The 16,194-nt window shown below is 39.0% G+C and overlaps 1 protein-coding gene and 1 non-coding gene across 2 annotated transcripts in view; both read right to left on the bottom strand.

The window, feature by feature from the left end:
• GPD2 (glycerol-3-phosphate dehydrogenase 2) overlaps positions 1-16,194 on the bottom strand; it is a 186,123-nt gene that overhangs the window by 159,523 nt on the left and 10,406 nt on the right. The gene's annotated exons all lie outside the window — the stretch shown is intronic.
• LOC124906170 (small nucleolar RNA U13) lies at positions 4,582-4,686 on the bottom strand. Its single transcript, XR_007088757.1, has one exon. It is a non-coding gene; the product is annotated as a small nucleolar RNA U13 (small nucleolar RNA).

The following is a 16,194-nucleotide window of genomic DNA, read 5'->3' as shown; positions in this document are numbered from 1 at the left end:
ACAAAAACCCTTGACTGCCACAGAATCTTAAATTTATTCTTCCTCTTTTTTTTTTAAATTTCTCCACTGGGATTGTACCTTTCTTTCCAGTTCAAAGAAAAAAACCATTCCCTAGAGCTGGCAGCCTCTCCAGTTTGTTCTCTCTATATAAGGACAAAAGGCTTCTCTGAGCTACATGTAGTTCAGGAATATGGGTTGCAAAATCTTCCGCACATCCTAGTTCCTTCCAGGTGTTTCTAATTTAGATGTTTCTAACAACAGTCTTTCAATGGGTATTTGTTGAGCACCACTTGTGTATCAGGCAATATTCTATTGTTCTAGGGATACAGGAGTGATGGTTAGGCTTTGTGTCCCTACCCAAATCTCATTTTGAATTATAATTCCCATGTGTTAAGGGAGAAACCAGGTGAAGGTAATTGAATCATGCAGGCAGTTTCCCCCATGCTGTTCTCACCACAGTGAGTGAGCTCTCATGAGATCTGATGGTTTTATAAAGGACTCTTACCCCTTTGCTGGGCACTTCTTCCTGCTGCCTTGTGAAGAAGGTGTCTTGCTTCCCCTTCACCTTCTGCCGTGATTGTAAGTTTTCTGCCGCCTCCCTGGCCATGCTGAACAGTGAGTCAATTAAACCTCTTTCCTTTATAAAGTACCCAGACTTGGCCGGGCGTGGTGGCTCACGCCTGTAATCCCAGCACTTTGGGAGGCCAAGGCGGGCGGATCACGAGGTCAGGAGATCGAGACTATCCCGGCTAAAACGGTGAAACCCCGTCTCTACTAAAAATACAAAAAATTAGCCTGGCGTGGTGGTGGGCGCCTGTAGTCCCAGCTACTCGGGGAGGCTAAGGCAGGAGAATGGCGTGAACCGGGGAGGCGGAGCTTGCAGTGAGCCGAGATGGCGCCACTGCACTCCAGCCTGGGCAACAGAGTGAAACTGTGTCTCAAAAAAAAAAAAAAAAAGTACCCAGACTCCGGCAGTTCTTTACACTAGTATGAAAACGAACTAATACAAGGAGTATATGCTTTTATCACACACCCGGACTGTAGTATGTGATATATGTTCGGTCAGATTTCACATATGCCTCCCAGGCAAGGTAAAGTGAGTTCATTAGGCTATTGTAAAACAAATAAGGAGTGGTGGGGTCTGTGGCAAATTGGAGAAAGCATGCCACATCCACAGGGGTTGGCTCTCGACCTTAACCTTGTATCAAACTTTTTGTGACCAGCTAGGAAAACCAGAAATTACCCACCTCTTTATGCGATGTAATATAAAGTCTGCACCATCACTTCTAGATGATTTTTGCCCCAAATACTTAACCTGAGTTAATTAACCCATTAGGTATAAATTATAGTCAACAAGACAACTGATTCCTCTTCAACAACACTGTCACAGAAGAAAAGAAAAGGGAGAGAGGGTCTGATCTGGGGTAAAACTGACTTAAGTGACATAATCAAATACAAAGCATGTGTTTTAATTGAATAACGGCTTGAAAAGAAGATAAATGCAGGTCAGGCATGGTGGCTCATTCCTGTAACCCCAGTACTTTGGGAGATCAAAGCAAGAAGATCCTGAGCAACATAGTGAAACTCTGTCTCTACAAAAAGTAAAATAAAAAAATTAGCCAGTTCTGGTGGTATGCACCTGTAATCCCAGCTCTGCAGGAGGCTGAGGCTGGAGGATCACTTGAGCCCAGGAGTGTTTGAGGTTACAGTGAGGCAGGATTACACCACTGCACTCCAGACTGAGTGACGGGCAAGAGCCTATCTCCAGAAAAACAAAAACAAAAAAAAAAATAAAATGAATATAAATGACATTTTAGGAAGAATGGGGAAATTTGAATATGAACTGAGGAAACATGGCATTAGGAAATTACAGTTTTTTTTCAGTGTGTTAATATTGGCGTTATGTAGGAAACTATTCTTAATAAATATGGCAATGTATTAAGTTATTGAATTTAGAGGTAGATGAATAGATATTTTTCTTTCTAATTTACAATAAGCTTTAAGATGTTCATAATCAAAATTTTTAGCATAAATAAAAGTGGTAACTTCTACAAAGCTTTTGTCCATTGTTGTCATGGGGGAATTAAGCCCAGTGTTACTAAATATTCTGAATTTTCAAAATAAACTGGAAATCTGAGATTTTTGTGTAAGATACTTTTTTGACTTTAAGAAATTATTAGCAGTCAAACCTTAAAAAGGCAATAAAACAAGAACAAAAAACTGCAGGTTTGATATAATGCATTTGGATGCTAGAGCTCACATCTAGTCTTCAAATTTACCATCTCTGATCTAAGTCCTTTCATTTTAATCTGTTTCCTTAGCTCTCTGACCCTTTATCCTTGATTTTCTTCTTCCTTTCTCTCTTTTCCTGACTGGCCTCTACCACTTTACTGTGTCCTTGAGCAGTTGCAGGATAATATGAGAAGTAACCAAGCTATGGATTTGTCTGGAGTATCAGATGATTTAACAAACTGAGAATTGTTTAATAATTATCCTAGAACACTAAACATTATCCTGATGATCTAAAATAGTTATTAAACCTCCTCACTTAAGATTATTAAATTGCAACATCTGTCTTCAGGAAACATTACTATTGCATGTAATATTTGCAAAACATTTACAACTGCTTTTAGTTATATCTCATATTCTATGATAGGTTTATAGTGTTTTTTTTTTTTCCTTATTTAATGGCTGGAAAGTCCTGAAGGTAACCTGAGTCCTTCATATGAGAAGGTATTAGACATAGGCGAGCTTCCTGGATGATGGGCTGCTGCTTATCCAACTGCGCCACGTTCTCTCCAGCCCTTGTTTGCTTTATTAGCTAATTACCAAACTGCATATTCAACCCAGGTTCCAACTATATTAAGGGCTATTTACTGGCTAAAATCAATACCCTTTCGATTAGCCACCTGGCGTGGCTTTTGGTAACTAAGCATTATTTGGGCTTCACTGCTTTTACTCCACTGGGGAGATAGGAAAGCGCTTTGTTTTGAGTTTTTACACTTACTGGCTACTGCTCTTAGCGGTAGGAGATAAAGGGCAGTGGAGATCGGCTCTGCCTTGGAGGAACCTGGGAACAAACACAAAATATTTTACTGCAACAACAAGGAATGGGGCAAAGAAAAATGGAATGACAAACACTGATTTTACTGTTTTAAGATTCTTTTTCAATTAAATAAATCTTTTTGGATATATATCTGATGCTCCAGGCATTGTATTAGCCCTAAAAATACAAAGATAAATAAAATATATTCTGTAACTTAGCCAAGTTGGAAAGAACGGCATTGAAACAATAATTACCATAAGAGAGTAAAAAGAGCAGAAAATAGATGTGGAACAGTGTTTTGAGATAGCATGGCAAGAAAATGATTCATTCTTTCCAAAAAGAAAAATCCCATAAATGCCTTTTTGTCAGTGGTGGTGAAACTAACCAAAAATGCTCTTTTTAATGTAGGTATTTTATTACAGAAAGAACTCATGCTCATTTTGGAAACATGAAAATATATATACAAAAGAGGAAAAAAGAAACCCAGCCCCTATAATCTGACTACTTGTGTCACAATTAACCAGTGTTATTACTTTTAATGGCAAAAACTGCAATTACTTTTGCACCAACCTAATAACTTGCTATAGACATTTTATGTACATCTTATAAAAATAATAGAAAACAAAAATATGTGAAAACATGGGCTTTGAATCAGATCATTCAAAACCAAATCTTGTCACTTACTACCTTTATGACCTTAGGCAATCTGCCTAATCTCTCTGAGCATCAGTCTCCTCATCTATAATATATGGGTAATGGGACCTACCTCCATGGATTACTGTAAAGATAAATTACAAGATAAAAGTACAGTTCTTAGAACAATCCCTGGGGCATATAAAGCAATCAATATTCACCTAACAAATATTTATTCATTCACCTAACAAATATTTATTGAGCTCTCCATTCTAAGCACTTAGACCACATCAGTGAACTAAATATGGTATTTATTTATTTTTAATATTAGAATTATTATCAATATAATGTCCTGTAAATCCTCTTTCAACAAAATATTGAGAACATCATTCAGTGACAAGAAATGTGAATCTATATCTTTGTTTTTACTGCCTGCATAGTTTTTTTTTGTTTGTTTGTTTTTGTTTTTTTTTTCTGAGTCTCACTCTGTTGCACAGGCTGGAGTGCAGTGGCGCAATCTCTGCTCACTGCAAGGTCCGCCTCCTGAGTTCAAGTGGGATTCTCCTGCCTCAGCCTCCCAAGTAGCTGGGACTACAGGTGCCTGCCACCATGCCCCGCTAATTTTTTGTATTTTTAGTAGAGATGAGGTTTCACCGTGTTAGCCATGATGGTCTCGATCTCCTGACCTCATGATCCACCCACCTCAGCCTCCAAAAGTGCTGGGATTACAGGAGTGAGCCACTGTGCCCAGCCTGCCTGCATAGTATTTTAATGGAAAGGTATATGCTGATTTATTCTGCTTACTGCCTATTCAACAACCTACAAAGACAGTTTCCAATCTGTATTATAGATAACATTACTTTGAATATCTTTGTTTCCTTGTCCAGTTGATTCTTTTTTAACATCAGATGGGTAATGTGCCAACATCATGACAAGATTTGAGGAGAGGGGCATCACATACAAGAGCATAAAAACCCAATCATCACACTTATGAACTATAAAAAGACAACTTGTCAAATTGATTCTTAAGGATATATCCTTTAAGTGAAATTAAGTCAAAGTTGATGAACATTTTAAATACTTTTCTCACTCTGTCATCCTGGTTAGAGTGCAGTGGACCAATAATAGTTAACTATAAACTCAAACTCCTGTACTCAAGCAATCCTCCCACCTCCGCCTCCCAAGTAGCTGGGACCACAGGTATGCACCACCATGCCTAGCTAATTTTTTATTGCTGTTGTAGAGATGGGTTCTCACTATGTTGCCCAGGCTGGTCTTGAACTCCTGGGCTTAAGCCTTCCTCCCTCTTCAGCCTACCAAAGTGCTGGGATTACAGGCATGAGCCCCTGCACCTGACTTAAATACTTTTTAACACTTTTTAGCATTCTTAAGGAAAATCAGAAGGGGATACCAGAGCTGGGTATTGAAGGATAAGCAGAAGAGAAGCAGAAAGAAAAGTGAGGGGAAAACATCAACAGGAAGAAGTTCATTGCCTTCAAGTTGATCTTACATCATACTCTAAGGCAAGACATATTTTGGGTTAGTAGATTATAAAGATGAGTAGTTTCAAAAGAGAACTTTAGGGATAATCTAAGATAAAAGATTGAAGGATAAGAGTTGGGAATTTTTTTTTTCATTCAACTCTTTAGCAGACTGTAAAGAGCTGGAGCACCTAAAATGTTAACACGCACATTTTCATGATCCACATACCAGACAGAATTTTCAAGTAAGCCAAACAACTATTACCTTTTATCCTACTCTTCTAATATCTACTCAACCTCTTTCTGCCCCCAGGAAAAGTACAGAACTGCAGGCTACTTATGCAAAGTTGTCATTGTTTTTAATTTAGTGTATGGAAAAATAACATGCAATGATTATATAAAAACTTATTCCTAGGAGTAAAGGGTACGTACACAGATTTCAACTCTGTAAAAACAGTTTGGGGACAGAGGATCTGCATTCTAATGAGCACCTCAGCTAATTCAGATGTAGGTAGTCCTCAGACTACACCATATTGAACAACCTATTCTAGATCTTTGCTACTCAAAGGGTGGTTCCTGTATTAGTGATAAAAGCTTCACCTGGGAACTTACTTGAAATGTAGAATCTCAGACCTTACCACAGACCTACTATATAGAATCTGCAGTTTAAGAAGTTTCCTGGTGATTTGCATGCACATTAATTGTGAATAAACTCTATTCTGTAGGCTGTCAATAAAGAATCTGTGAGTAGATTCAACAAGGTAAAAACATTCCATGAAAAATACAGGTCCCATCCATTTGTTTTTTGGAGCATTATTTGGGCTTCACTGCTTTTATAGTGAATATGCAGCAAGGAGCCTTGTATCTCAAATTCTTTCTAGCATCCTGTGGCATATAAAACTCATTCACTAACATTCCAGGAGATGTAATGAGAAAAAAATGAGATCTAAATGATGTCTTAGAAGTTCTCTAGGTATCTCCTTCTTATATATCAATTTCTATTTTCAATGTGTAAATGACTTTATAGGAGGTTGCAGCAAAAAAGATTTAAACAGCTCAAAGTATGATCAATAGATGCTAAATGAAATGAAATTAGTTTTGTTTTTATATCATGTTAGTTTCTATTGACCAACCTTTTAAACTGTAAAATTATGCAGCTGAAACTAAAATAGGAGAAATTATGGCACTTTATTTAACATTATCTAGTTGATATTTTAAGAGATGCAAAATAGGTAGAAATACAACTGATGGGCCATGAGCGGTGACTTATGCCTGTAATCCCGGCACTTTGGGAGGTCAAGGCGAGCTGATCATGAGGTCAGGAGATTGAGACCATCCTGGCTAACAGAGTGAAACCCTGTCTCTACTAAAAATACAAAAAATTAGCCAGGCCTGGTGGCACACACCTGTAGTCCCAGCCACTAGGGAGGCTGAGGCAGGAGAATTGCTTGAACCCAGGAGGCAGAGGTTGCAGTGAGCCGAGATCACGCCACTGCATTCCACAGAGTGAGACTCTGCCTCAAAAAGAAAAAAAAAGGAAAGAAATAAATCTGATAGAGATATGTATTTCATTGTATTAGTCTCTTAAAAGAATCTGACTAGAGATAACCACCTTGCAATAAAATCTGAGCAATTGTTAGGATGCCAAATATTTCATTAAGTAGTTAAATAATTTTTTCAGATAGGTATAGTAGGATTTGGAATAAACCCAAAGGGAAAAATACATTTTGGACCAAGTGACATTTGTGTATTCTACAATTTTCTGTATTCCAAATATACTTAGAGAGCTAAGTTTCAAAGTTTGTTAGACCTTAAAAATGCTGTGTAACTTTAGTCAGCATCACCTTTCATGTTAAATAAGACAATGGTTTTGGTTAAGAAAAACAGGATTAGCCATAGAGCACTTACAAGTTTTTGATTGGTACCTAAAATTATATGTTTTGATAATCACTTCACTATAAAAACACTTAGGTGAAAATTTAAGGAGATGGTAGAAGACCAATCTCCTCTACTTGTAAATGCAAACTCAACCACATTCTGTCTCTTCAATCTTGTTCTTGTTGATGATAAGGAGGATGATGATTATGAAAGAAAACAAAAGAGGCTAAGAAAAGAAGAAAACCAGAAGAGAAAATATGGGAAGTGGAAGAGATCCCAATGAGACCTATCAGTAAGGAGGCTTTATGCCATTCAGACAGATAAATGTAAAGCCACCAGAAACAACATCAACAACAAAAGAAGAACTGGAATGTTGAAGCTTTTCTCCTTAAAACTAAAAATAAATGCCATTTCTTTATAAAACTAAGCTTCATTATTAGTGATCATACTTCACAGTTGTTGGAGCTTAGAAAACAGTACCCTGGGCTGGGCGTGGTGGCTCACGCCTGTAATCCCAGCACTTTGGGAGGCCCAGGTGGGCAGATCACCTGAGGCTGGGAGTTCGAGACCAGCCTGACCAACATGGAGAACCCTCGTCTCTACTAAAAATACAAAATTAGCCGGCCGTGGTGGCACATGCCTGTAATCTCAGCTACTTGGGGGGCTGAGGCAGGAGAATCTCTTGAACCCGGGAGGCAGAGATTGCGATAAGCCAAGATTGCACCATTGCACTCCAGCCTGGGCAACAAGAGTGAAACTCCATCTCAAAAAAAAAAAAAAAAAAAAAAAAAAAGAAGGAAAGAAAATAGTATCCCGAAATATGGCAAGTTGACATGCTGAACTGAAGAAGCCGCCGGGCCTCCCTGACCTGCCCCTACTTCACACCCCACAGTCTCTCCCTAAGCCTTTATCCGCCTGCAATCCAGATCCATCTAAAGGAATAATTGTTTTTTCTTTCTCTCTCTGTAAGGCCAAGAATGAACCCACACCTGAACAGAAACTTTCACAAGACAATGTACAAATTAATCTGTTCTCTGATCCACTCATTCTCCCTAATAATGCCCTCAACAGAATTCCCCTTCTTCCCCCTCCCATAACGTACACCAGGATTGTATGAAAGCTTTGGAATCACGGTGCTTGGGTAATCACTGTGATTCTCCCCTTGTATACATGTTAAATAAATCTGAATGCCTTTTATCCTATTAATCTGCTTTATGTCAGTGATTTCCAGTGAACCTTCAGAGGGCCCAGGGGAAACTTTCACCTTGGCCCCACACAGTCCATTTGGCTGGTCAGGGAGAATGGGTAGAAGTCCCTTGGTTGCTATCGCATAATTCATGGTATATTATTTCTCAAACTTGCAACATTTATACATACCACTCACTATTTTTGGTCCTTTTTTTTATTATTAATGTAACATTTTTCTTTTTCTCTCTCTCTTTTTTCTTTTTTTGAGATGTTGTCTATTTCTGTCGCCCAGGCCGGAGTGTAGTAGCGCGATCTTGGCTCACTGCAACCTCCGCCTCCCAGGTTCAAGCAATTCTCCTGTCTCAGCCAAGTAGCTGGGATTACAGGTGCCCACCACCACGTCCGGCTAATTTTTGTGGGTTTTTTTTTTTCTTCCTTTTGAGACGGAGTCTTGCTCTGTCACTTAGGCTAGAGTGCAGTGGCTCAATCTCCGCGCACTGCAACCTCTTCCTCCCGAGTTCAAGCAATTCTCCTGCCTCAGCCTCCCGAGTAGCTGGGACTACAGGCACGTGCCACCATGCCCAGCTATTTTTTGTATTTTTAGTAGAGATGGGGTTTCACCATATTGGCCAGGCTGGTCTCGAACTCCTGACCTCGTGATCCGCCCACCTCGGCCTCCCAAAGTATTCAGATTAGAGGCGTGAGCCATGGCACCCAGCCTAATGTAACATTTTTCCTCAAATCAATTTACTTGTTATTCTTTATTTTTATTTTTAGAGATAGGGTCTCTGTTGCCCAGGCTGAAGAGTAGTGATACAATCACAGCTCACTGCAACCTGGAACTCCTGGGCTCAAGCAATCCTCCTACCTCAGCCTCCCAAGTAGCTGAGACTACAGGCATGTGCCAATATGCCTGATTAGGAAATCAACTTACTTTTGATAAAATATAACTTTTTCCTAGGAAAAAGTTTCCATGAATTACCCATGGAATTATATTCCATGTAATAATATATTACATATATTTGAATATATGTAAAATAAAGAAAAATTGTAAAATGCCCATATGCCACCAAAAGCATCTCACGAACTAACAGTGTTTGGAAAATCCAAACATAATAGGTGCTCAATAAATATGTGGTAAATTAAGGAATAAATTGACTTATTTTTAGTAGCTTGTTCAGGAACTGGAATACACAAGATACAAATAAGAAATCATTGCCTATTAAGACTTTGCCTCTCCTGACATATGTTTAATTGTAATATTCAAAGTCTCAGGGTTTACCTAATGATTGGTATTAATCAAATAAAATTTGGTAACATTTCAGTGATCCTTTTTTATTGATCACTCACCTTGGAAAGAATGAGATCAAAGAAAAAGCAGAAAGTGGTCCCAAACAGATTCTTCTGAATAAAATTGATCAAATCACTCTTCAACAAATACCTACAATATGAGAGACACTGTGCTAGCTTCTGAAAATGCAAAGATAAATAATCCTTAATCCTGAACTAAACTGCTGTAGTTCAGTTTAGTTTAATTTAATGAGGAAACCAGACAGTTAAACAAATAAATGCAATGCAGCGTGTTAAGTATGACAGGTATGTTTCAGTGCCACAGGATTACAAAGGAATAAGTGACCAAAAGTGCCTGAGTAAAGCCAAGGTGAGGTTTTTAAATTTAAATTTAAATTTAAATGATTCTTGAGTGCTATTAAGGTTACAGGACCTGGATGTTAGCTGCTACCTGACTCTGCTGAAACCTTCACCACTCTTCCTCACCAATATTTTCTAACCTCTTATTTGTTTTGTTTTTTATCCACAGCACTTATCATGATTTAGCATACTACATATTTTGTCTTATTTATTGTGTCTATTGCCAATCACCCCATATTAGAATGTGAGTGTCACAAGGGCAGGGATATCTGTCTGTTTTGTTCACTGATGTATCATCAGTGTCTGAAAGAGTGACACATAAAAGTTCTAAATGAAATATTTAAAAGGTGGACAAAGCTCACACCTATAATCCTAGCACTTTGGGAGGCCAAGGTGGGAGCATTGCTTGAGCCCAGGAGTTTGAGGCCAGCCTGGGCAACATAGTGAAACCCTGTCTCCATTAAAAAAAAAGAAAAAAAAAAAAAAAAAACTAGCTGGGCATGATGACTCATGCCTGTAGTCCTAGCTTCTCAGGAGACTGAGGCAAGGGGATACCTGGAGCCTGAGAAGTCAAGGTTACAATGATCTGTGATCCCACCACTGCACTCTGGCCTGAGTGACAAGGTGAGATGTGGTCTCAAAAAAAAAAAAAGAAATATTTTAAAATGACCTAAATAGTTAACGAAAAGTAAAGAGTTTGGATGAGACTTCCCTTCTTCTACTCTTCCACAGTTTAATAAAAACACATGCTGTCTGCAATTGCAAAATCGTGGAACCAACCCAAATGCCTGTCAACCAATGAGACTGTGGTATATACATATATATATATATGTATATACAACCAAAGAACTGTGGTATATACATATATGATAGAATATTACTCAAGATAAAAAGGAATGAATTAAGTGTATTTGCAGAGACCTGGATGAGACTGGAGGCTATTTTTTATTTTATTTTATTTTGTTTTTGTTTTTTTTTTTTTTTGAGACGGAGTCTCGCTCTGTCGCCCAGGCTGGAGTGCAGTGGCGGGATCTCGGCTCACTGCAAGCTCCGCCTCCCGGGTTCACGCCATTCTCCTGCCTCAGCCTCCCAAGTAGCTGGGATTACAGGCGCCCGCCACTACGCCCGGCTATTTTATTTATTTTTTTGGAGACGGACTTTCGCTATTGTTGCCCAGGCTGGAATGCAATGGCACAATCTTGGCTCACCGCAACTTCCATCTCCTGAGTTCAAGTGATTCTCCTGCCTCAGCCTCCTGAGTAGCTGGGATTATAAGCATGTGCCACCACACCCGGCTAATTTTGTATTTTTATTAGAGACGGGGTTTTTCCACGTTGGTCAGGCTGGTCTCAAACTCCCGACCTCAGGTAATCCACCTGTCTCGGCCTCCCAAAGTGCTGGGATTATAGGCATGAGCCACAGTGCCTGGCCCTGGAGGCTATTATTCAAAGTGAAGTAACTCAGGAATGGAAAACCAAACATTGTATGTTCTCACTGATATGTGGGAGCTAAGCTATGAGGACACAAAGGCATAAGAATGATACAACGGCTGCGCGCGGTGTCTTATTCCTGTAATCCCAGCACTTTGGAAGGCCGAGGCGGGTGGATCACGAGGTCAAGAGATCGAGACCATCCTGGCCAACATGGTGAAACCCCATCTCTACTAAAAATACGAAAAAATAGCCGGGAGTGGTGGCGGGCGCGTGTAATACCAGCTACTCGGGAGGCTGAGGCAGGAGAACGGCGTGAACCCGGGAGGCGGAGCTTGCAGTGAGCAGAGTTCGCGCCACTGCACTCCAGCCTGGTCCACTGAGCAAGACTCTGTCTCAAAAAAAAAAAAAAAAAAAAGAATGATACAATGGACTTGGGGGATTTGGGGGAAAAGGGTGGGAGGGAGTGAGGGATAAAAGACTACAAATATGGTGCAATGTATACTGCTCGGGTGATGGGTGCACCAGAATCTCAGAAATCACCACTAAAGAATTTACGTAACCCCAATAACCTATGGGAAAAAAATGTTGTCATTATATTGTCTGAAAGAGGAAATAGGAGCCCATTAACTCATCATATAATTTCTGAATCTAGTTAGATATTATATGACATTTTATATCCTTATTTAACAATAGATATTAAAGGTATATTTATCCCTTTTAGAGCTGTTATTGTTATTTAGAATATTTATGGAATAATTGATGACATCTCCATTTGAAAAATGTAAATGGGAATGATATAATAATCATTGAAAAACCAAGTTTTTGTTAAAGTAATGCTAGTCCCAATAACATTTGAAAATATATTTAGAACTCATCCACTTTGAATGTAAAAAGTTTATTTCTTTTTTAATAACATTCACTAATATTAATAATATGCTTGAAAAGCCGTTGAAGTGTCACAGAGTTACAGAGCTAGAAAGTAACTTAGATTATTTGGTTCACATCTTTTCCATAAAGCATGTAAATATCTAAGCTACTCAGGATTCAAATATTTCTTAGTACAAAAACACATTTAGATATATCTATAAGAAGCATTATGAATCCTTTCAGATAACCGACCTAATCTTTAAATTTTAATGTGAACGTTTGACCTCACATTGATTCTCTCCCCTTACGCTTCACATCAATTATCACAGAACTGTTGGGTTTAACCTGCAGTTTATATACAATTTAAAGAATGGAGAAACATAGGTTGATAGTCACTTATACGTTATTTATGTTCAACAACAATACTCTGCTTTAAAACATCAATTCTGAAAGCAATATTCTAATTTCACTTAGAATATTGAAATAAGAATACATTGATGACATTTGTTCTTTATTTATATTCCAATTTTTAAATGGAAGAGTGAGAATAACATCAAGACCCTATTCTTTAATAATAAGGAAAATCAAACTTTGTCCCCAAGTGATATGTGCATTTGCATCAACTCTTCTTAATTTAACCTTAAAGTTATTTAAGCAGAAGTGACTGAATTTTTGAAGCAAACTAAATTCAATTGAATATTTCTGCTTATTCATTAATTATATTGAGCATATAAATCACTTTATTCGTATTTTCCACACTCCCATGGAAAAAGATTCAGGAATTATTTATTTATTTATTTGAGACAGAGTTTTGCTCTTATTGCCCAGGCTGGAGGTCAATGGCACGATCTTGGCTCACCACAACCTCCGCTTCCTGGGTTCAAGCGATTCTCCTGCCTCAGCCTCCCACGTAGCTGGGATTACAGGCATGCGCCACCACGCCTGGCTAATTTTGTATTTGTAGTAGAGACAGGGTCTCACCTTGTTGGCCAGGCTGGTCTTGGACTCCCGACCTTAGGTGATCCGCCCACCTCTGCCTCCCAAAGTGCTGGGATTACAGGTGTGAGCCACTGGGCCAGGCCTTATTTATTTTTATTTTTATTTATTTATTTTTTTTGTGTGGTGGAGTCTCACTCTGTCACACCCAGGCTGGAGTCCAGTGGCATGATCTCGGATCACTGCAACCTCTGCCTCCTGGGTTCAAGTGATTCTCCTGCCTCAGCCTCCCACGTAGCTGGGACTACAGGCACGAACCACCACACCTGGCTAATTTTTTTGTATTTTTAGTAGAGACGGGATTTCGCCATGTTTGCCAGGCTGGTCTCAAACTCCTGACCTCAGGTGATCCACCTGCCTCGGCCTCCCAAAGTGCTGGAATTGCAGGCATGAGCCACCTCACCTGGCTGATTATTACTTTCAGTATCACCCCCACCAAGATAGCTCTAAAAAGAATAAGCAAAGGTTATGGAATATTGATGAAATAAAGAGTTGCCATTTTTACGAGCTCAGAGAAAATATATTTTGGCTCTATGCAGTTTCTTCTCTCAGTTTTATAATTACTTGTCCTCTTAACACATTGCTCATCTTTCTCCCAACTCCACCCACCCTCAGACAGTGTCTTGCTCTGTCACCCAGGCTGGAGTGTAGTGGCATGATTACAGCTTACTGCAGCCTCAACCTCCAGGGCTCATGTAATCCTCCTGCCTCAGCCTCCCAAGTAGCTGGGACTACAGACACACACCATCATGCCAGACTAATTTTTGTATTTTTTGTAGAGAAGGGGTTTCACTATGTTGCCCAGGCTGGTCTCAAACTCCTGAGTTTAATTGATCCACCTGTCTCAGCCTCTCAGAGTGCTGAGATTACAAGCATGAGCCACTCACTGCTCCTGGCATCATAGTTTTAAAAGGTATAATTTTCTGCTTACTGTTTTTTCTTTAGGATAATCCAAAGCCAAATGTTGCTCATCTTTATACTAGTTAGAAGAAGGTTTTACAATATTGGTTCTCATTTGTTATGTATAGCTAATATTTATTGAGCTAATTTTACTATGTGCCAGACACTGTGGAAGAGCTTTATGTGCATTAGCCCATTTAATTCTCACAGCAACCCTATAAGATACATACAATTGTATGCCCTTTTTACCAAGAAGAAAACTGAGACAGAGGGGCTAAATGCCCCCATCAAAATTACAGAACTAGTAAAAGATGGAGATGGAATTGAAACCTTGGCAGTCTGACCAAATCCTGTATTTTTTTTTTTTTTTTACAGACGAAGTCTCACTCTGTGCCAGGCTGTAGTGCAGTGGCAAGATCTCGGCTCACTGCAACCTCCGCCTCCCGGGTTCAAGCAATTCTCCTGCCTCAACCTTCCAAGTAGCTGGGACTACAGGCATCCACCACCATGCCAGGCTAATTTTTTTTGTATTCTTAGTAGAGATAGGGTTTCACCATGCTGGCCAGGCTAGTCTCGAACTCCTGACCTCAAATGATCCACCCACCTTAGCCTCCCAAAGTGCTGTGATTACAGGTGTGAGCCACCACTCCTGGCCAAATCCTATACTCCTAAGGATTGTACAATGGGGCAAGTTTTTCATACAGTTGTCTGCAGATATTTTTAAAGGCTGACTAATAAATCCTACATCTTTGCGGCTCAATACTACTAAGAGAAGCTTTGCATGGTTTCAGTGTTTTCAAATGAGGTGGCCAAGCACTTTTGCTCCGGATGGTAAACTGAAACAAAGAAGCGACTTCATATCTGAGTGAGGTTGGTTTTCCTGGCTAGGCATATATTCCTAAAGCCCATGAAAGATTATGTAGGAAGAATTCTTATCAATGATTCAAACATTTTAAATGCTATTTTTATAATTTGTATTGATTCTGTAATACAGGATCTTAAATTCAGATAATGACCATTATTTTTTGGAATTCCTTACCCTTCTGAAGAACAACTTTAGGTTTAAAGACCCTTAAGGTCATAGCAGAAAACATTTTATTAGTTCAATGTCTTTCAGCTACTTGGTGCTAACGGAAAAACTGCTAGAAATTCTCATTGCTGTTTTGTTTAATATACAGAATTTATATTCTGTATATTAGATTCTGTATATACAGATTACAATCCCAGCACTTTGGGAGGCTGAGGCGGGTGGATCACATGAGGTCAGGAGTTTAAGACAAGCCTGGCCAATATTGTAAAACCCTGTCTCTACTAAAAATACAAAAATTAGCTGGGCAGGGTGGTGGGTGCCTGTAATCCCAGCTACTTGGGAGGCTGAGGGAGGAGAATTGCTTGAATTCAGGAGGTGGAGGTTGCAGCGAGCCAAGATCACACCATTGCACTCCAGCCTGGGTGACAAGAATGAAACTCCATCTCAAAAAAATTTAAAAATAAAAAGAGAGAGAGAGAGAACTTATGTGACTGGAAAGTTATACAAATGAAGTACACAGACAATTTGTTATGGAGCCTAGACAAGTTGTTAAGAACATAAGCTCTAGAGTCAGAATTCCAGCCTTCTACTTACTTTTTGAAGGATTTTTAAATAAGCTACTTACCCCCTTGTTTTTTCATCTGTTAACTAGAAGTGTTCTAGTTTATGGTAATTATTTTGCTGTTCAAGTTAGACAACATCTAGTTTCTTATAAACACTATATGTAGTATTATTTATTTTCACCAACCCTATTATTTTTCTCCCACAACATAGAATTTGTCTTAGAAGTGGGGAAAATAATCACGTTAAAGTGGAAGTAATTTGTCTATGTTAGACATTCTGTTAATTGACCAAATGGAGTGTTCCTTTTACCAGTGCAATATCCTTTTGTGGCAAATGCTGTATATATATATAATTGAGGAAAGGGGAAAAGTGAAGAGGTCTCCAAGTAACTAATAGCAGTATTTACCTTTTAAGCACAAAATCTAGATAAGGTGGTCATTAATCCTAAGAAGCAAAACAGAGTCAAATGGTATATGACTTTGTAATGCAGCACTTTGCCATACATGAGTAAAACTAAAAAATAAAGAC

This window comes from Homo sapiens, chromosome 2 (genome assembly GCF_000001405.40).
Source record: "Homo sapiens chromosome 2, GRCh38.p14 Primary Assembly".
Classification (NCBI taxonomy): Eukaryota; Metazoa; Chordata; class Mammalia; order Primates; family Hominidae; genus Homo; species Homo sapiens.
Note: the sequence above shows the minus strand (reverse complement) of the source record. Positions and strands in the feature narration are given on the sequence as shown.